This window comes from Homo sapiens, chromosome 12, assembly GCF_000001405.40.
Source record: "Homo sapiens chromosome 12, GRCh38.p14 Primary Assembly".
NCBI lineage: Eukaryota > Metazoa > Chordata > Mammalia > Primates > Hominidae > Homo > Homo sapiens.
Window position 1 is genome coordinate 9703040 of NC_000012.12, and position 20004 is coordinate 9723043.

The 20004-nt window shown below is 40.0% G+C and overlaps 1 protein-coding gene and 1 long non-coding RNA gene across 14 annotated transcripts in view, besides 7 other annotated features; one reads left to right on the plus strand and one right to left on the minus strand.

Moving 5' to 3' along the window:
- Positions 1–20004, minus strand: part of CLECL1 (C-type lectin like 1) — a 32165-nt gene that overhangs the window by 858 nt on the left and 11303 nt on the right. For 7 of the 13 annotated variants that reach the window (NM_001441806.1, NM_001441814.1, NM_001441807.1 and 4 more), the window contains 2 exons: positions 19605–19774; positions 9934–13737 (listed from right to left, as the gene is read on the minus strand). In NM_001441806.1, the coding sequence (NP_001428735.1) occupies positions 13720–13737; positions 19605–19774 (188 nt within the window). In that variant the 3' untranslated portion in view covers positions 9934–13719. Of the gene's footprint in view, positions 1–9933; positions 13738–15601; positions 15736–19452; positions 19775–20004 lie in introns of those variants that run through there. The other 6 variants (NM_001441809.1, NM_001441811.1, NM_001441808.1 and 3 more) reach the window with 4 other exon arrangements.
- LINC02390 (long intergenic non-protein coding RNA 2390) lies at positions 345–7879 on the plus strand. Its single transcript, XR_931347.3, has 2 exons — positions 345–1118; positions 5833–7879. It is a non-coding gene; the product is annotated as a long intergenic non-protein coding RNA 2390 (long non-coding RNA).
- Positions 4510–4609: a silencer, noted in NCBI's record as "silent region_4231". NCBI's record gives its function as "represses an Ori minimal core promoter by ATAC-STARR-seq in GM12878 lymphoblastoid cells {active_cell/tissue: GM12878}" and the evidence as "EXISTENCE:reporter gene assay evidence [ECO:0000049][PMID:35858748]".
- Positions 7677–7766: an enhancer, noted in NCBI's record as "active region_5949". NCBI's record gives its function as "activates an Ori minimal core promoter by ATAC-STARR-seq in GM12878 lymphoblastoid cells {active_cell/tissue: GM12878}" and the evidence as "EXISTENCE:reporter gene assay evidence [ECO:0000049][PMID:35858748]".
- Positions 10181–10350: an enhancer, noted in NCBI's record as "active region_5950". NCBI's record gives its function as "activates an Ori minimal core promoter by ATAC-STARR-seq in GM12878 lymphoblastoid cells {active_cell/tissue: GM12878}" and the evidence as "EXISTENCE:reporter gene assay evidence [ECO:0000049][PMID:35858748]".
- Positions 10361–10410: an enhancer, noted in NCBI's record as "active region_5951". NCBI's record gives its function as "activates an Ori minimal core promoter by ATAC-STARR-seq in GM12878 lymphoblastoid cells {active_cell/tissue: GM12878}" and the evidence as "EXISTENCE:reporter gene assay evidence [ECO:0000049][PMID:35858748]".
- Positions 10461–10510: an enhancer, noted in NCBI's record as "active region_5952". NCBI's record gives its function as "activates an Ori minimal core promoter by ATAC-STARR-seq in GM12878 lymphoblastoid cells {active_cell/tissue: GM12878}" and the evidence as "EXISTENCE:reporter gene assay evidence [ECO:0000049][PMID:35858748]".
- Positions 14684–14783: a silencer, noted in NCBI's record as "silent region_4232". NCBI's record gives its function as "represses an Ori minimal core promoter by ATAC-STARR-seq in GM12878 lymphoblastoid cells {active_cell/tissue: GM12878}" and the evidence as "EXISTENCE:reporter gene assay evidence [ECO:0000049][PMID:35858748]".
- Positions 17005–17094: a silencer, noted in NCBI's record as "silent region_4233". NCBI's record gives its function as "represses an Ori minimal core promoter by ATAC-STARR-seq in GM12878 lymphoblastoid cells {active_cell/tissue: GM12878}" and the evidence as "EXISTENCE:reporter gene assay evidence [ECO:0000049][PMID:35858748]".

Genomic DNA, 20004 nt, shown 5'->3' on the forward strand with positions numbered 1-20004 from the left:
ATCCTAATTACTGCATCCAACTACCTGACCATCATTCATTTTTAAGAGACAGAATTTTTAACGTTCCAAAGTTCTCACCCAAAAGAGATCTGACAGTTTCTGACTGCAATCCATTCTGGAGAAGTTGCTACTAAATTGAATAGAGTAAAGTTATTGTTCCTTTAAATACAATATCTATGAATGGACAATCAAGATTTATGTCCCTTAAGGCATAAGACAGCTGTTAAATGTTGTTCCTCCATTGTACTAATCAACTTCATACTACTGGAGGATATTTGTAAAAAATATTTATATATACACACATACACACACACTCTTAAAATAATTTGTGCTAGGTTATTTATTTATTTATTTATTTATTTATTTATTTATTGAGACAAGGTCTCACTCTGTTGCTCAGGCTGGAGTGCAGTGGCATGATCATAGCTCACTGCAGCCTCAGCTTCCCAAACTCTGGCGATCCTCTCACATCAGCCTCCCAAGCAGCTGGGACCACAGGCATGTGCCATTATACCTGACTAATTTTTGAATTTTTTGTAGAGACAGAGTTACACCGTGTTGCCAAGGCTGGTCTCAAAATTTTGGGGTCAAACAATCTACCTGCCTTGGTCTTTCAAAGTGCTTGGATTATAGTTGTGAGCCACTGAGCTCAGCCTGTCCTAGGTCTTTTAATGTCAAAAGAACACTTGCCCGCATATATATATATATGTATACATATTTGTCATTTCTTTGTCTTAAAACTGGAATATCCTGCTTTAAAACTTTAAGACAAAGTGTAAATGATTTTCTTTTTTTAATGAGAAATAGTCACCTTTTGTCAATTTTATTTGCTGATTTTATTGACTTGCGTATTCTACAGTGGAGACCTCAACATATTCTATGTATTGTGTTTTAGTAGCAAGGTGAACATATGTATGATATTTTCCACCTTAATGTTACTCTTTAATTGAATACATTTATAAGTTACATTAAAGCTTATTTTATGTTGAAAGAAGGAGCTAGAAAACTAGTGATGTTAAACAATGTGTTAACATTTATTTTCAATGATGAATCATTTAGTTTACAAGACATATCTTGTATTTTCTTTAGGTAATTGCCAAATCAGAGTCAAATTTATGGTAAGTTCATAGTACTTTAATATTTTATTAATATGAAATACTTGATTTTTACATCTTTAGAATTTTAATTGCACAAGGAGAACTTCCAATAAATATTTTCTGTATATAATTATGACACTTTCTTCACAAATATTACATATTCTATGCTCCAAGGCCTTGAACAATTTCTTGTGAAAATGTTGCTGCATTGTCACAGTTATTTCACAATTTTCATATAGAGAGGAATAGGGATTAAGTTATGTTCATTTGCTTTTTTTAACTTTTAAGTTCAGAGATACATGTGCAGGATTTGTAGATTTGTTACATAGGTAAACACATGTCATGGAGATTTATTGTACAGATTATTTTATCACTCAAGTATTATGCCTAGTATCCATTATTTTTTAAATTCTCTCCCTCCTTTCACCCTCTGCTGTTTGGTAGGCCCCCGTTTTTGTTATTTCCCTCTAGGTATCTATGTGTTCTCATCATTTAGCTCTCACTTACAAGTGAGAACATGTGGTATTTGATTTTCCATTCCTGTGATAGTTTGGTAAGAATAATGGCATCTAGTTCCATATATGTCTCTGCAAAGGACATGATCTTGTTCCTTTTTATGGCTGCATAGTATTCCATGGTGTATATGTACCACATTTTCTTTATCCAGTCTATCGTTGATGGGCATTTAGGTTGATTTTGTGTCTTTGCTATTGTGAATAGTGCTGCAATGAACATATGTGTGCGTGTGTAGTTATTATAGAACAATTTATATTGCTTTGGGTATACGCCCAGTAATTGGATTGCTGGGTCGAATAGTAGTGCTGTCTCTAGGTCTTTGAGAAATTGCCATACTGTCTTCCACAATGGTTGACCTAATTTACACTCCCACCAACAACGTAAAAGCATTCCTTTTTCAACACAACCTTGCCAACATCTATTATTTTTTGACTTTTTAATAATAGCCATCTGACTGGTGTGGGATGGTGTCTCATTGTGGTTTTGATCTGCATTTCTCTAATGATCAGTGATATTGAGCTTTTTTTCATATAATTGTTGGCCACATGTATGTCTTCTTTTGAGAAATGTCTTTTCATGTCCTTTGCTTACTTTTTAATGAGGTCTTTTTTTTTTGTAAATTTGTTTAAGTTCCTTATAAGTGCTGGATATTAGATCATTATCAGATGCATGAATTACAAAAATTTTATCCCATTCTGTAGGTTGTTTACTCTGTTGATAGTTTCTCTTGCTGTGCAGAAGATCTTTAGTTTAATTAGATCCCATTTGTCAATCTTTCCTTTTCTTACAATTGCTTTTGGCATCTTCGTCATGAAATATTTGCCTGTGTCTATATCCTGAATGTTATTGCTTAGGTTTTCTTCTATGGTTTTTATAGTTTTGGGTTTTACACTAAAGTCTTTAATCCATCTTGAGTTGATTTTTGTATATGATATAAGGAAGGGTCCCAGTTTCAATTTTCTGCATATGGCTAGCCAGTTCTCCCAGCACTATTTACAGGGGAATCCTTTCCCATTGCTCATTTTTGTCAGGTTTGTCAAAGATCAGATGGTTGTAGGTGTGTGGTCTTATTTCTGAATTCTCTAATCTGTTCCATTGGTCTATGTGTCTGTTGTTGCACTGGTACCATGCTGTTTTGGTTACTGTAGCCTTGTAGTATAGTTTGAAATTGGGTAGTGTGATGCCTCTGGCTTTGCTGTTTTTGCTTAATATTATTCAGGCTATTCAGGCTCTTTTTTATTCCATATAAATTTTATTCCATATAAATTTTAAAATAGGTATTTTTCTATTGAATCTGTAAGTTGCATTGGGAAGTACGGCCATTTTCAAGATCTTGATTCTTCCTATGCATAAGCATGGAATGTTTTTCCATTTGTTTGTGTCTTCTCTGATTTCTTTGAGCAGTGGTTTGTACTTCTCCTTGAGGAAGCCCTTCACTTTTCTTGTTAGCTGTATTCCTAGGTATTTTGTTCTCTTTGTAGCAATTGTGATTTGGCTCTCTGCTTGCCTGTTGCTGGTGTGTAGGAATGCTAGTGATTTTTGCAAATTGATTTTGTAACCTGAGACTTTGCTGAAGTTGCTTCTCAGCTTAAGAAGCTTTTGGGCTGAGATGATGGGACTTTCCAAATATAGAATCATGTCATCTGCAAACAAAGACAATTTTACTTCCTCTCTTCCTCTTTGAATATGCTTTATTTCTTTCCCTTGCCTGATTGCCCAGGCCAAAACTTCTAATACTATGTTGAAAAGGTGTAGTGAGAGAGGTTATCCTTGTCTTGTGTCAGTCTTCAAGGGGAATTCTTTGAGCTTTTGCCCATTTAATATGATATTGACTGTAGATTTGTCATATATGACTCATTATTTTGATGCCTGTTCCTTAAACACCAGGTAGATTGAGAGTTTTTAACATGAAGGGATATTGAATTTTATTGAAAGCCTTTTCTGCATTTACTGAGATAAGCATGTGGTTTTTGTCTTTAGTTTTATTTATCTGATGAATTACATTTATTGGTTGGTGTATGTTGAACCAACCTTGCATCCCAAAGATGAAGCCGACTTGATCGTGGTGAATAAGCTTTTCAATGTGCTGCTGGATTCAGTTTGTCAGTATTTTGTTGAGAATTTTTGCATATGATCATCAAGGATATTGGCCTGAAGTTGTCTTTTTGTTTGTATTTCTGCCAGGTTTTGGTATCAGGATGGTGCTGCCCTCATAGAATGAGTTAGGGAGAAGTCACTTCTTTCAAGTTTCTGAAATAGTTTCAGTAGGAATGGTACCAGCTTTTCTTTATACATCTGGTTGAATTCAGCTGTGAATCCATCTGGTCCTGGGCTTTTCTGGGGAGGTTGGTAGGCTATTTATTACTGGCTCAATTTCAGAACTCATGGTTGGTCTTTCAGGGATTCAATTTCTCCCCTGGTTCCGTCTTGGGAAGGTGTATTTGTCCAGAAATTTATCCATTTCTTCTAGATTTTCTAATTTATGTGCATAGATGTATTTTATGTTCATTTGAAAAAGCTGAAGGGTTAATTGGAGTACCAGAAATTTTAGTTTTAATTCTAGTAAAATGACTAAATAAAATTACGATGTAGGCATGCAGTAGATACCAGTTTAAAGTTCTGGCAAATCTCACCAATCTAAAAATTATGAAGGATAAAGATTATAAAAGTTTTATACAAAATTAGAAGTATTAGCATCTAAAATTACATAGTAATTTTATCATTTTATTAGAATTAAAGCCAAGATTTCTTAAATGTTTACACATACATTTGATATGGGAGTGCTGGGAAGGGAAGAACATGGTCCCTTTAAATGATATGCAGTGGGGGAAGGGAAGTGCTAGGTAGATGAGGGTGTGGTCTCTGGCTAGGGCTCCACTTCTGCCCTACTGCCATGAGGTTGGAGCTCCCCAGCCTGCCTGTCTGTGTATGCTCCCCTAGAGATTTGAGCAGTGGGGCACTGAAGAAGCAAGCCACACCCCCATCACATGCCCTGCAAGGGGGCAAGGGAACTTTTCCCATTTCAAATGGGGGCTTTTCCAGGATCTCAGAAGTTGAGTATGAGCAAATACAAAACTATGGGGTCTGCTTTTCTTCCAAAACCCTGCCACTTCTCTTTCTGTGGGTAAGATGCTCTGTTTTCTCTTTGTCTCTTTTCTCTCTCACATGGTTCAAAATGGCTATCTCTTTCTTTATAGTGTTAAGAGTTTTGTTACAGGCTGCAGCAATTTTACTAAGTAAAATGAGCATTTGGCTCAGTCAACAAAGATGCAAGTCAGACCAATTGTTCCTGGAGGTGCCATGTATGCCTCCATGTCGACAGCCACAGGTACACATGGCTCAGGGCACCTCCCGTTACCCTTTTTCCTCCCACTTCGGGTGCCTGGGTGTGCCCACAGCAGGCAAAGGCCAAGTTCAGCAGCCACGAGGAGGGTGGGAGGAAGCTGGGGCAGTAACCAGGACTGTACAAGGTGCTTCTTACCTGCCGTGCCAATGGAACATTCCCTCCCCTGGCCAAGGAATTAAATCTGGTCTGAACTGGGGGAAGAATGGGAAAGTTATAAGGATTAGGAGGGCCCACTTGCACTAAGCAAGTGGTTCTTCCCTCAGAATCTCTCCCATTTTTGCCCCTTAAGCTATTTTTCTGTTTTTTAAGTGAGAGGGCTCCCCATTCTAACACTGTTTCTGATAGGGAAGTTAACGGTGAAACGACCCCTGCTGGCTGAGAACTGCAAATTCAGCAGGGCATACTTGAGACTCTCTAAATGGACACAAACAGCTTCTGAAACGCCTTTTCAGTCCCAAACTTGATTCCAAGCTTCAGGCTGAGGTCCTAAAAAGGAAAACCAGGTCTGAGGGATCCAAAGCCAGGCAACGGGCACAATATAAATGGGCAGCCAATTTCTGCCAATTGAAACCTCCACCCCATGGAAGGAGGCCTTGCTTCGTGACATAAACAGGCCCAGGGAACTCAAAGTTTGCCAACAGCAGGGAGAAAAGAAGGCATAGATAAGGGCAGTTAACTCCTATTCTCCGGATTTTCTCTACTTCATGGGTACCTACCGCATTGGTACCTATGTCACTTGCCAAGGTCAAGGTCACTGGGTCTCAGGGACAAAAGGTGGAAAGTGAAGGGGGACACTGGCTTTCTCTCTCCATCACACCCTGAGTATTTGCTGAAAGAAGAGAATGATGGACACCTCTGTTCCCTGTCTTTCAGAATGGGCAACCAGTTCTCTTCACCACTTCCAGCTTATACTCCTCTGGAGTGTATCCTGAACCATTGGGACGGCTTTGACCCTCAGAATCTGGAGGAAAAACACCTCATAGCCCTACGCACAAAGGGTTGGCCAAATTATGATTTACAGGAAGGACTGAGTTGGCCTCAGGAAGGAACCATTCATTTCAATACCACTTGGCAGTTGGAACTTTTCTGCAGACATGAGGACAGATGGTCTGAGGCCACATATATGCAGGCTTTCTATATCTTGCAAGGCAATCGAGACCTTGGCTAACAATGTAAGATAGATCTAGCCCTCCTGTTTGCCATCTTAGGGAAGGCTGCAAGGGGCAAGCCTAGAGAATTAAAGATATGAGTCCCAGAGGCACCCCCAACAGGGGAGCCAGCTCCCTCAAGCCCTGCTCCTCCAGGTCTATCCCAACCTCCCTATCCAGCTTCAGCCTCTCACTTGCCCCCTCCTAGAAATCCTCACTCTAAACAAGCCCCAGTCTCACTCCTGCCCCTCCAACAGATGCCCAGTGAATTTGGGCCCAGTAAGGTCCAGGTCTCCTTCTCCCTACAGGACTTAAAGCAAATTAAGGAGGATATTGACAGGTTTTCAGATGACCCTTATAGATAGAGGCTCTCCAGAATTTCACCCAAATATTTGAACTCTCTTGAAAAGACATTATGTTACTTTTGAATCAGACCCTGATGGACACTGAGAAACAGTCCACTCTGCAAGCAGCAGAGAGATTTAGGAATGAGCTTTGTATCACATATAGCGTCAGGGAAGGGGACGAATATTCTCCAACTGGAAGAGAAGCAGTACCAGTGAATGACCCTAAATGGCATCCCAATGATGAGATGGAAGACTGGAGAAGCACACACTTTCAGGTGTGCATAGTGGAAGGCTAGTATAAATTTATTACTCAGGCAGCTCCTGATATCAGGAGGAAGTTGCAGAAACGATCCCTGGGATCAGCTAGTACATTAGAGGACCTCCTGAAAGTGGCTACCTTGGTCTTTTATAATACAGACAGGGAGGCCCAGGAAGAGAGAGGAAATACGCAAAAGAGCAAAAGCTTTAATGGCCACCATGCAACCCCACAAACCCTAGAATTCCCAGGGTACACCTGTTAGTTGCTAAAGATATTTCAAGAACAGTTATCTCTCTGGTAAAGTTTATTTGCTCCTGTGCAAGGTTTCATTTCTTTCAACAGAGTGAAACAACTTGGGGTACAATGTTATTGTTAGTATATTTTCTTCTTATGTCTGTAATATTTGGCACTAAATTCTTTCCTTTAATAATACACATGTTTAACCCATGCATACTTAACCTTATAAAACTTGTTTTTTCTCTCATGCCTGGAAGCCATCAAACTCCAAATGTTCAGGCAACCAGAGCCTCAGATGATGGCTCCGCTTTGCTAGGAACCCCCAGGTAGACCTCTCGGAAGCATCCGACAGCAGTTTACCCCAAAAGAATGCCCCCTGTCAGTGGGAAGCAGCTAAGACCAGTCATTGTCCATATTCTCATGGCAGTTAGATACACCTCTTCAGAGAGGGGAAATAATATGGGAGTGCTAGGAAGGGAAGAACATGGCTGGCTAGGGCTCCATACCCTGGCTAGTCCTGGCTAGGGCTCCACACTCACGGACCTAACTGAGAACAGGTATTTCCCGCCCAAATGTTGCATTTCCCAAGACCACCCTGGCCTGCCATGCCCCCATCCTGTGCCTGCAAAAACCTGAGACCCTAGCAAGGCAGATACAGAAGCAACTGGACATCAAGAGGAGCACATCAGCGGAGGAACACACAGGGAGAGGAACACATAGGTGGCTGGACATTGAGAGGAACACACTGACAGGCACCAGCATGCTGGTAGGCCACTGACTGACAGAACAATGCAGAGTTTGGCTGGGGCAGCTGGAGGACAGTCTGGGCCACTGAGCAGCCTGACTTCAGGGGAAAACCATCTCCCTTCTGACTCTCCCATCTGCTGGTAGCTATTTCCACTCAATAAAACCTTGCACTCATTCTCCAAGCCCATATGTGATCTGATTCTTCCAGTACACCAAGGCAAGAACCTCAGGATACAGAAAGTCCACTGTCCTTGTGATAAGGCAGGGGTCTAATTGAGTTGACTAACACAAGGCACCTAGAGCGGCTAAACTAGAAGAGCAAAACTAAAAGAGCACACTGTAACACATGCCTACTGGGGCTTCAGCTGCAAACATTCACCCCTAGACATTGCTGTGGGATCTGAACCCCACAGCCTGCCCGCCTGTAAGCTCCCCTAGAGGTTTGAGCAGGGAGGCACTGAAGAAGCCAGCCACACCCCCATCTCACACCCTGCAAGGGGATAAGGGAACTTTTCCCATTTCACATTCAAGCCAGAACTGTTAAGAGAAACAATGGGTAATTTTCTGGCTTATACTTATTCTGGGTTCCAGAGAAGGTTGGTGTTCTGTTTCTACCTTCAGAATTGCATTGGCTACTTAATCTAAAAGCTTTGGTCAAACAAGCTGATTGTGGAGTTAACTGCTCTTCATTAAAGCTACTTAGAGCTTTTCCACTTCATATTATTAAGCTTCTGTGAAAATTTTGCTTTTGCCTGGTTTCAGAGAGTAAGTTATTTAAAAAAAAAAAAAAATCTCTTCTTAGTTTTCACCGTACTCAACTATCAGTAGAATTTCACATACTTGATTGCTTCCTCCCTGATATTCTTTCTTTAAAAGAAACCCTCTCCCCACCCCAGATTATTATTATTTTTTTTTTTTGCAGTGGTCCTTCTCAGCTTTCTTTTGTGGTTCCTTTTCCTTTTTCCACCCCCTAAAGTTTGGAATACCCCAGTCCTTGTACCTCTTCTTATCTGTGCTTACTTCCTAGGCAATGTCTTCTGGTCTCATCTATGGGCTGCTTACAATCACATTTATTTCTCTAGACCTAGCCTCTCCCCTGACTTCCAGCCTAAAGTATCTAACTGGATTCCTGACATTCCTACAATGATAGTTAATAGGCACTTTACACTTAACATGACTCAAGCTGAAAGCCTAGTCTTTACTTCATGCAAGCTTCTCCCTCAGTATTATCATTATCGAATACATCTTACTAGTTGATTTTCATTTCATATTACCTATCCAATACATCTAGATAAATTTAGAGTATATCCAGATATTCTCTACCTTTTGAGGCCAGTTTAAGACCAGCTTGGGCAACATAGCAAGACCCTATAGCTTACTTTTAAGGTAAAGATATATCTACCTTAAAAATAGCTGCCAACCCAAACTAAGCCATTTTCATTTCTCACCTGATTATTGTGATAGGCTCTTGACCAGTGTCCTTGTACTTGTCTCCTCATCCCCATAGTCTATTCTGCACACATTATTTAGAATGAATTTATAAAAATGTAAGTCTAACGATGTAAGTCTTTATGGCAAATTTTCAACTACCTATCTCACTCAGTAAAACGTGAAGGTTTCCCTGTGGTTCACAAGTTACTATATGATGAGGCTCCCATGTACTCCTCCAAACTCACATCTTCCTATAGTTCTTTTTAGTGCCTGTTGCACCATAATACTGTTCTGCTTTAGCCAAGCATGAACAATGCAATCTACAAATGAAATCTTTTTATTTCTTTCTTTACAATCCGTATGCCTTTTATTTATTTTTCATGTTTTATTGCACTAAATAAAACTTCTATTGTGATATTCAATAAAAGTGGCAAGAGTGGCCACCTTGCCTTTTTTCTAATCTTAGGGAGAAAGCATTCAAATCTTTCCCCATTAAATATGAGGTTATCTGTAGTTTATTACAGATAGTCTTTAACAAATTAAGGTAATTTCTCTTTTATTCCTAGGCTTCCAAGAGTTTTAATCATAAATGTTTGCTGAATTTTGCCAACTTCTTTTTTTAATCGATTGATAGAATTACATAAAGCTTTTTTATGTAAGTACAACTATTAATAAAACCCAGAATCAGAAGACTAAAAAGGACCCTGCCATCTATTGAAATGTTTAGACAAATTAATAACTATATGAGAAACAAAAACTATATTGTAGCAGGATGAGCCGCAGACAAAACCTCTCAGACACCAAGTTGGAGAAGGAAGGACTTTATTCATCTGGGAGCATCGGCAAGCTACTGCCTCAAAATCTGAGCTCCCCGAATGCACAATTTCTGTTCCTTTTAAGGGCTCACAACACTAAAGATTTCACATGAAAGGGTCGTGATTGATTTGAGCAAGCAGGTGGTACATGATAGGGACTGCATGCACCGGTGGTCAGAGAGAAACAGAACAGGGCAGGGAGTTTCACAATGTTCTTCTATACAATGTCTGGAATCTATGAATAACATCGGTTTCTAAGTTATGAGTTGATTTTTAACTAATTTTCAACTACCTATCTCACTCAGTAAAACGTGAAGGTTTCCCTGTGGTTCACAAGTTACTATATGATGAGGCTCCCATGTACTCCTCCAAACTCACATCTTCCTATAGTTCTTTTTAGTGCCTGTTGCACCATAATACTGTTCTGCTTTAGCCAAGCATGAACAATGCAATCTACAAATGAAATCTGGTTTAGGCCAGGCAGGCCCAGGCCTGGTTTCGGGCCTGGTGCTGGGCTGCCTGTCTTTGGTTTTACTTTCTTGTTGTTTTTTTCTTAAAACAGGTACTGAGTATAAAACAATATAAAACAATATGAGAGGGTCTCTCTCTTCCCTCATTTCCCCCATTTGAGACTCTCACTTTTTATTAGGGGAAGTTCTCACTCTTATTTTTGCTACTTATGTCTTTTTGTGCAATAGATCGATAGTGATTTATATAGTATGCTTGTGCTGAAGCATTTTGGTGAACTAAGGTAGCGACAAAGTTTTTTACCATTTGGAGAAATACAGGTGTCAGACAAGGGAGCAGTAAGCAAGTTCCTATTACTATTATTACTCTTATTGGAAGAGTTTTAAATCTTCTTATTGCTGGGAACCAATTTCCAAACATGGCTCTTGGATTGAGTCCGTGCCACACTTGCACGGGTACATGTGCCAGTTTTGTTATATCTTTAACTATGTCTTTAACTACTTGCCTTTGATTATCTATGTGTAGACAGTAATTAGTAAGGTTAAATTTCTTATAGACCTCTCTTTTAGCTGCTAGCAAGTAGTCGAGAGCCAATCTATTTGATAGATAGCATTTCTTCATAAGAGTCTCTTGCCAGGCAAAAACAGTCAAAGCTCAACTGGTTTTATTAGTAATAATTTCTAAAACAGCTTGTAACTGTATGATTCGGTTGAGCATGTAGATGGGGGTTTGATATCTTCATGAGCCATCTTGTGCATAAGTGGTGGGTCCATAGTATTGTATGATTTTTTCAGGAGGCCATTCATTATCTTTCTAATCACCTATGGCTATGCTTCTTTTTTCACGGGAAGCACAGACTGGGAAGCCCAGAAGTTCACCTGTTTTTATGGGCAGTAAGAAGAAAGATGGCTTAATGGTGCCAATTACACAGCTACCTGTCCACTGATCAGGCAGCTTAGCATAAGCTCTGTGTCCACATATCCAGTATAACCCAGTGGGGGCCATCCAGTCCTGGTGGAATTCTGGGTGGGCCTAAACAGCCTGCAGCTTTGGAAATTTACTGAATGGATTTCTTTCTGTGTAATTGGAACTCCACCATGTAACTGTTTTTGTGGTATCATTATACAGCTTTTGCCTAAGACAACTAAGCTGCCTTACAGGATGAGTGAATCCTTTTCCTTCTCTAGCTATACAATACTGTCTAATAATTGAGACTTTTAGAACTTAAAAATTGTCAGGGTGGTTCTTTTGGGCTGGAAATTCATCAGGAACTGGGTCTGTAGGAACTAATTCTCGGGCTACTTATGGCCATTGATCTCTTATTACAGTTTTTCTACAAACATAACATGAAGTGACATTTAGAGACTGGGCTACATGCTTGGCTAACTGCAAAAACAAATTTCCGGTTTTTCCTGGAGTCTCTGGTACTGGCACATTTAGTTTATCATAGAAAGTCTGAAATACTGGTTCTGGAGAGCATCTTTGAACCTCTCCTTCTATTAGGATATTTACACTAGGATCTAGTCCTTTTCTATCAATGTCTAATGTTACATATTTTCCTTTATTCTACTTTGGGTCTGAGGGATTTGTGATTATCAATTCTAAAGGGCTGCAGCTCCTCCTCATGCAGGAGGGGCTGACTTTTCCTTTTTTGGAGCCAAACAGGATCTTTTTTATCTTCTTTCTAAGTAGCCTAAATGAATGACACAAGACCAGTATTGACACATCTCACATAAATATGATTCTTGACAGATGTACTTATTTTCTGCTGCGTAACTTTTTTTCTAATCTAGAGAACCGCATCTTAACCTATGCTGTTTACTATTAATAGCAGCACAGGCATCAAATTTTAAGGTTACATTTTTGGGGACCCCTTTTCTTCTGTTCTAGCTATTACTTTACTTGCGTCACTTAGAGAACGACTAGTTCTTAGTCTTACTTCAAGGACTGTGATCATGGGAGGTTCAAAGGGGTCATAGCACACATCGGGCTGGTCACTTCCTGGATTACATACTTTGTACTGGGTGTTACTATACAAAGTTTCTCTTTGGAGTCCCTAGGCATTCATAATAGCTATAAAATAAAAAGATTGTCTTAACTTGTCCTACCTCAGTGACCTGATGTATGCACTGAAGGCAGCCCTCTGTGTGGGAAGAAGTATTGGAAGCTTTTACCACACAGGTCTAGCTCTCATTCACAAATTTTTGGGTTTTTCCTCCTCTACCTCCAGCATCCACTCTCCCAGCTGACACTCCAGAGGTCCAGTTGCCATCCCCACCCACTGCTGAGCTCTCTCCAGTTCTCGCCTTTATTCTGTCTTCTTATCCTGACCTCTCTTTGGAGGCCTTTCATCATTGGTTCCGATATTGGCTCTGACTCTCCCTCACCATCTCAGTTTTTCTCATTTTCTCATAACGTCACACTGGGTCCGGTTCCTGCAGTGCTCCTTTTACTCACATCATTGGCCTCCTCTCTGCCATCACAGGCCCCTCTCACATTGGCCTGCACATTTTCACTACTTTTTTCCCTCCTGCCCACAAATTGCCTTGTATCTTCTGCCTTCAAAGACTTTCTGGCCCCTGGTTTCCACTCATCCATCATGTGTTCTTAGTTCACCTTCACAGTTGACTTTCTTATCTTGGTTACCAGGGCCTTCTCTGCCATGAGTCCTTGCTCCCCACATCTCCTTTCTGGCTCACTCTCACCACTGTGTTTCTGCCTTCCCAGCCCTTTGCATGACTGAATTTCATGTTCTTGTGGGACTGTCTTCTGCCCTCACAACTTGCCTTTTCCATGCTTTTCCTGGAGCAGGAAGGCCCAGGATCCTGTTCCTATATCTGTGTCTCACTCTGTCTCTGGACACCTTCTCTCATAGTATTGTCTTCTCGCCAAACTTGGTCATCTCCATTTATCCCACTGATTCATTTTTCTTTTATCTGCTATCACCAATCACTCTTCCTCATCCTCCTTAGACTTCACTGTATCTCCGACTAACACTAACTCGGACTCAAACAGGGCACTGCAACTTGATGAACACTGTCCCAGAGAGTTTATCTCCAGATAATTCTATTGATTGGTCTTGAATTTCCCAATAACCTGGAAATTGATTGTCTACTTCAGCCATCTCCTGGCGGCTGGTGGCTGCCACGAACTTGTCCCATTCCTCTTGCTCAAGCTGGGATATCAAACAAGAGCTTTGTTCTCTTCATCAGAGGCCTCTTCCTAAGAAGACCCCAGAGACAGACATATGGATGCCTGTAGCCTCTGTCTCCTCAGCACTGAAGTCTAGGAACTTCTATATGCATATGTCAAAAAAGATTGGATTTCTAGATTTGAGAGGAGAAAGAAAATAATGAGATATCATTCCCAAAACATTTGAGGCAAAACTACTGAATGGATTATTATGGGACCATCCTAGAATCACTTGCTAGACTCCATCTTAGAATCACATGAGAAGTAAACCACACCCCCACGTCCTTCTGTGAACGGGATGTAAACCAGAGCACTGACACAGCTCCAGCAGGGTCTGAATCCTAAGAACTTGGTGAACCATTAGCAGCATGAACGATGTCAAGTATTCTAGTGTCCATCCCTCTACCCAGCAAGTCCTGGAGGATTATTGTTCCTGGAAGTATTTCTGTGTTTTAAAATAGCTTAGTTTGAAAATTAGTTCAACAAGACTGGGTGCGGTGGCTCATGCCTGTAATCCTAGCGCTTTGGGAGGCGGAGGCGGGCAGATCACGAGGTCGGGAGACTGAGACCCTCCTGGCTAACACGGTGAAACCCCGTCTGTACTAAAAATACAAAAACTTAGCTGGGCGTTGTGGCACGCACCTATAATGATGATGGCCGTAATGAGCAGAAACCCCGTAGTAGTCCAGGCAATTATGTCAGAGAGACAACCTACTGCATATGTTCTAAGACAGGTTTTCCCCCAGTGCTAACGTTTTGGAATTGGAAACGTCTTATCAATGACTTGCAGTAGTTTAATTGGCAACTTTATTTTTGCTTTCTAATTGATATTAATCTTACACCTTATAATTGAAAGGACCTTAGATTCAATAAAAGAAGTAAATATTTATCTTGTTTAAGCTAGTTTTGCTTCTCAGTCACCTACAGCTGAATTCACTTAGCATATTAAGTTATATAGCTGTTTGCTGGAAAATAGTAATTAGGCATACAAGTGAGATAATAGCTTTCTTGCATGAATTACCTTTGTACTATGTTAAAAACAATCAGTTGACTATATTTGCCTGGGTCTATTTTGAGCCTTCTTTTCAGTTTCACTCATCTATATATCTCTCCTTTGACAATTCTACCCAATCTTAACGAACTTAGCTTTACAGTAAGACCTGAAATTGAATAGTGTAAGTCTTCCATTCTGCTTGCTTTGGGTTTAGCTTGCTCTTCTTTTTCTGTTTTTTTTTCTTTAAGTAGATGCTTGCATTATAAATTCTACATTATCTCCTTTTCAAATATAAGCATTCAATATTATACATTTCCCTCTAAACTCTGCTTAAGCTAAAATCCATTAGTTTTGATGCTTTATATTGTTATTTTTATTCAACTCAGAATACGTTTTAAAAATTTCCCCTGATTCTTCCTCTTTGGCCTATACATTATTTAAAAGTCTGTTGTTTAACTTCTAAATATTTAGGCATTTTCCAAGTATCTTTCTTTTATTAATTTCTAGTTTAATTTTATTATGATTTGAGATATACATTTTGTATGATATTTATATTTTCCACATTTGTAAATATTTTCAGATTTTTATGTCCCCAAATATGATCCACATGAACATTCATGTGCACTTGGAAAGAATGTACATTCCCTGTCGTATAGAGTTTCCAATAATGTCAATTAAATCTAGTTGGTTGTTATTGTTGTTTAGTTCTTCTGTTTCCTTACTATTTTTTTTTTGTCTATTAGTTTAATTAGTTACTTAAAGAGGTGTTTACATCTCCAGCTACATTTGTGAGTTTGTCCATTTCCCCTTTCAGTTCTGCAGTCTTTCCCTTGGTGCATGCACGTTTATAATTGACCCTTGTTATGGGCTGTGGGGCCCAGAGAGTGGAATATTATGGGCTGAATTGTACTACTCCAAAATTCATATTTTGAAGTCCTAATCGCCACTATCTCAGAATGTGACTGTATATGGAGACACAACCTTTAAAGATGTAATTAACTTACAGTGAGGCCATTGCGGTGGGCCCTAATCCAATCTGATAATGTCCTTACAAGAAGAAATTTGGATACACAGAGACATCAGAGATGTACACACATTGAAGAAATGCCATTTGAAGGTACAGCAAAAAGGTGATCAGCTGAAAACCAAGGAGAGATGCCTCAGAAGAAACCAAACCTGCCAACAACCTTGATCTTGGACTTCTAGGCTTTAGCTGTGAAAAATAAGTTTCTGTTGCTTTAGCTACCTAGTCTGTGATACTTTATTGAAACAGCCCTAGCATATTAATACAACTCCTTTATTATTATGGAATGTCCCTCCTTGTTCTCAAGAGTGTCTTGGGTTTTTTTGTGTGTGTCTTTTCATATACCTCTTACATGTTTGTTGAAAGTTGTACATCTTCATCTTGTGTAGGACAGTGGGAATTGAGTTAAAATGCTTTTGTACTTGGAAATGTGCACACAGGTCCTTCTCCTAGGTCTTTAATGTGGGCTTTGAGTTAATCATTAAGAGTTAGAGCCAGGTGCGGTGGCTCATGCCTGTAATAGCAACTGTTCATGAGGGTGCCGTGGGAGGAACCCTTGAGACCAGGAGTTTGAGAACAGCCTAGGCTGGGCGTGTTGGCTCACGCTTGTAATCCCAGTACTTTGGGAGGCTGAGGCGGGCAGATCACAAGGTCAGGAGATCGAGACCATCCTGGCTAACATGGAGAAACCCCGTCTCTACTAAAAATACAAAAAATTAGCTGGGCGTGGTGGCGGGCGCCTGTAGTCCCAGCTACTGGGGAGGCTGAGGCAGGAGAATGGCGTGAACCCGGGAAGTGGAGCTTGCAGTGAGCCGAGATTGCATCACTGCACTCCAGCCTGGGCGAAAGAGCGAGACTTTGTCTCAAAAACAAAAACAAAACAAAAAGAAAGAGAACAGCCTGGGCAACATAGCAAGATGCCCATCTCTAAATAAATAAATAAGCAGAGCGTGGTGGTGCATGGCCTTCTGGAGGCTGGAGGGGTGGATCCCTTGAGCCCAGGAGTTCAAGTGGGCTATAATCACATCACTGCAGACAGCCTGGGTGAGAAAGAGTGAGATCCTGTCTCTAAAAATACAACCAAACTAAAAAGAGTTGGTTTGGGTTTGTGATTTGTTCTTGCTGTGATTATCCTCATTGTTTCACACACTTTAAATTCCTGTAATGACAGCTGGTGTTTAATCTGGAGATTTGTTTGCCAGAAAAATGTCTTCTTCATCCTGGGCATTTTAGTTTCCATTTTCACAGTGCCTTGGAGAAGATTACTTGGCACATTCTTATTTCTCTTCTGTCTCTCTTCCAGCAGCATTCTCTTTTACTCCTTTTCTGAAAATGTTATCTTGGTAGTGCAAGGCAGTGAGTGGAAGGGGTGATGGCTGTTCTCACTATGACTCAGTCTTAGGCACTGAGTGAGTGCCTGTAATGTTAGTGCCTGGCCTGCTCAGGTCTCTGCCCCTACCCTGGATATAGTCGTTGGTCCAGTGTGTATTCCTGCCCCTCTTACAGGAGCAGATTTTGTGTCTTGGCACTTTCTCCCACCTGCAACGATGTTCCCCCAGTTCCCTAAGGGCAGAGATGTTTGTTGCCCTTCTCCCCAGCACACACAGTAGGTCTTTTAGTTTATTGTGTAGATAGCAGATAGGGGAGAAGGTACTCTGTGGAATTTCATGCCACCTCTGTATTTTTTTTTTTTTTTTTGAGATGGAGTTTCGCTCTTGTTGCCCAGGCTGGAGTGCGGTGGCTGCGATTATGGCTCACTGCAACCTCCGCCTCCCAGGTTCAAGCGATTCTCCTGCCTTAGCCTCCCGAGTAGCTGGGATTACAGGCATCACCACCACACCCGGCTAATTTTGTATTTTTTAGTAGAGACGGGGTTTCTCCATGTTGGTCAGGCTGGTCTCGAACTCCCGACCTCAGGTCATCTGACCACGTTGGCCCCCCAAGTGCTGGGATTACAGGTGTGAGCCACCGCGCCCAGCCGCCACCTCTGTATTATCACTGTTTTCTCTCTCCAGGTCTGCATCACAATGGACATGAAGAATTTCTGCTTCTCTCCAGTCATTTCTGTGAGAGTCTGGTGGAGTTTGTAGAGAAATAGCCTGGGAGAGGTGGTGGGATTTTCTAATTTCTGCAGACCCCAGGAGCTTCACACTGTTCTGCCACCCTACACTTATCCCTAATCCATCTTTCAATTATCCTGGCTGAATTCTTACTGGTATCTGGTGTTGGATTTGTCTATCCTAAATAAGCAAGGATGTGTTTCCTCTCTCTCGCATGTGCCTGTCACCATAGATTTTGGCCAGCTGGTTGTTCTACAGAGTTCATTCTTCAATGGATTTGAAAATGTTGAGAAGTTAATTTGGCTATTTTCCATTATAGAAGGGGTAGCAGCATTTCTTTGAGATATCTGCAACATGGAAATGAAAGCCACACATCTCCCTTACTTCTTTTTATGCCTCTTTCCCTGCCCCTCTGCCCTCCTTCTCCTTTTTCCTTCATACTTCTTATTTTATTTGCCATATGATGACACTTGGATACCCTAGATGGACTAATAATCCTTTTTTTTTTCCATTTTAACTTTAACTTACTTGAGAACTTGAGAATAATCGCTAGAAAATGATTTTATATTTATTGGAGTAAATGTTCTTCTGTAACATATTTTATCTGTTTTTTACTTTTCTTTTTTGGGAGATGTTTAGAAAGGGACATGCTTATGCATAAATCATACACTAATTCCTTTTAGAGTCTTGTTTATTCTTGAAAGGGAACAATTGTGTCTGACTCATATATTTACTTAGGAATGATGTGAAGAGGTAAAGCTTAAACTGGAGGAAGTAAGTTTCCGTTAAAATGTGTTGTCTTAGATCACCGTTCTCCTAAATCTGGTTTACTGTTTGCTGAGAGACATGTTTTTCTGCATTTTCACATTTTTCCCTTTGACTGTGAGCAGGAGATATATGAGATTCTTAGTGAAGTCATTCATTGCGCAATGGCTCCAAGCTATTATTTATTGTTGATTCTTTAGACAACACTCTTTTTAGATGCTTTTTAGTTACTCCCTGCTTCCTCTTTCTTGTTCATTAAAATTTGCTCTAGAAGAACAAACAAAGGTCTCTTATCAATTCCTAATTCCATCCTTGATTTGGCTCATAGTTTGCTGCGCCTGACAGAGCCTTACAGTTTGACATTTGGGGTAACACTAGTTTCACTGAAGATATTAATAGTTTACTTCTCTTTTAGTTTTTCTTGGTGTGGATTTCTGTGACACTCAAGAGGGACTTTTTCCCTCAGATGTCTCAACAGCTGCCCTTTTCTAAGTTCTTTCAGATGGCGCATGTTCAACCAGGTTTGTAAAGCACTGCTAGCCACAGGGTTTGCAGAAACTGAGCTACTGACATAGCTTGTGATTCTAACATACTGAGCCCCATGAGAACCCTTATTTAATATTTGTAATTTAACATGTACATTGACCTTATCACTGAGAAGGTTTAAAATAGTGTCCAACCTCCATTCAGCAAAACTTCAATTTAAATTAAGGCAGAGTTAGCTAAATGTTAGCTATCCTCTGGAAATACTAAATCTAAGTAAGAGATACTGTTCTGCCTTCCCTTTCTCACAAAATCTTCCTTAATTTCAGCTGCTGTGATACCTGGCTACAGCCTTTATGAGCATTGCAATAAACATGTGTGCTGAGATCATATACTCAATTTCTTAAGTTTTAAAATGAAATCTGCTAAGAAGCAATGGTCCCTTGGAGAGAAGAGCTTGGTATAAAACATAAAATGAATTTCCCCTCCTCCTAGCCGGAAAAAAAAAAAACCTCAAAGGTAATCATGTAATTCAACAATTCATTCAACTAATATTTGTATAGTTAATAACACATGAAGTTGAAACTTCTTTTCACAGACTTTTGCCAAGTTTGTAGCACAAAAAATTCACTGCCAGTGTGGGGGATGCTGTCACCTCTAAATGTTAAATCTCACCATAGCAGTAATGTCTTGAATCACCATGAGATATGAATTGTTTATGGCACAGTCATTTTGACTTTTGTTCCAAGATTTCTTAGTTTCAGCAATCCAGTAACATTTTCCCTTATGCACCTTCCAGTCTTTGGCAGGACATGATTTATGGACAGTAGAAAAGTTGAAAGAAACTGGAAGAAAGGAAGATAAGCAATTAAAATCAATGTAAAACTGTATCCTAATAATGTATACTAATTGAAGGGTCTCAAATTTGGTTATATTATGTGCTAAGCTTTCTTTGAAAAAAGTATGTGCTTTGTTCCAGGGTACATTTGAAAAAAAATTAAAAGAATTGAAGTCATGTGTATATTCATTAATTCATTCACTCATCCATCCTTTTTCCATTTAATTTATCCTTTTA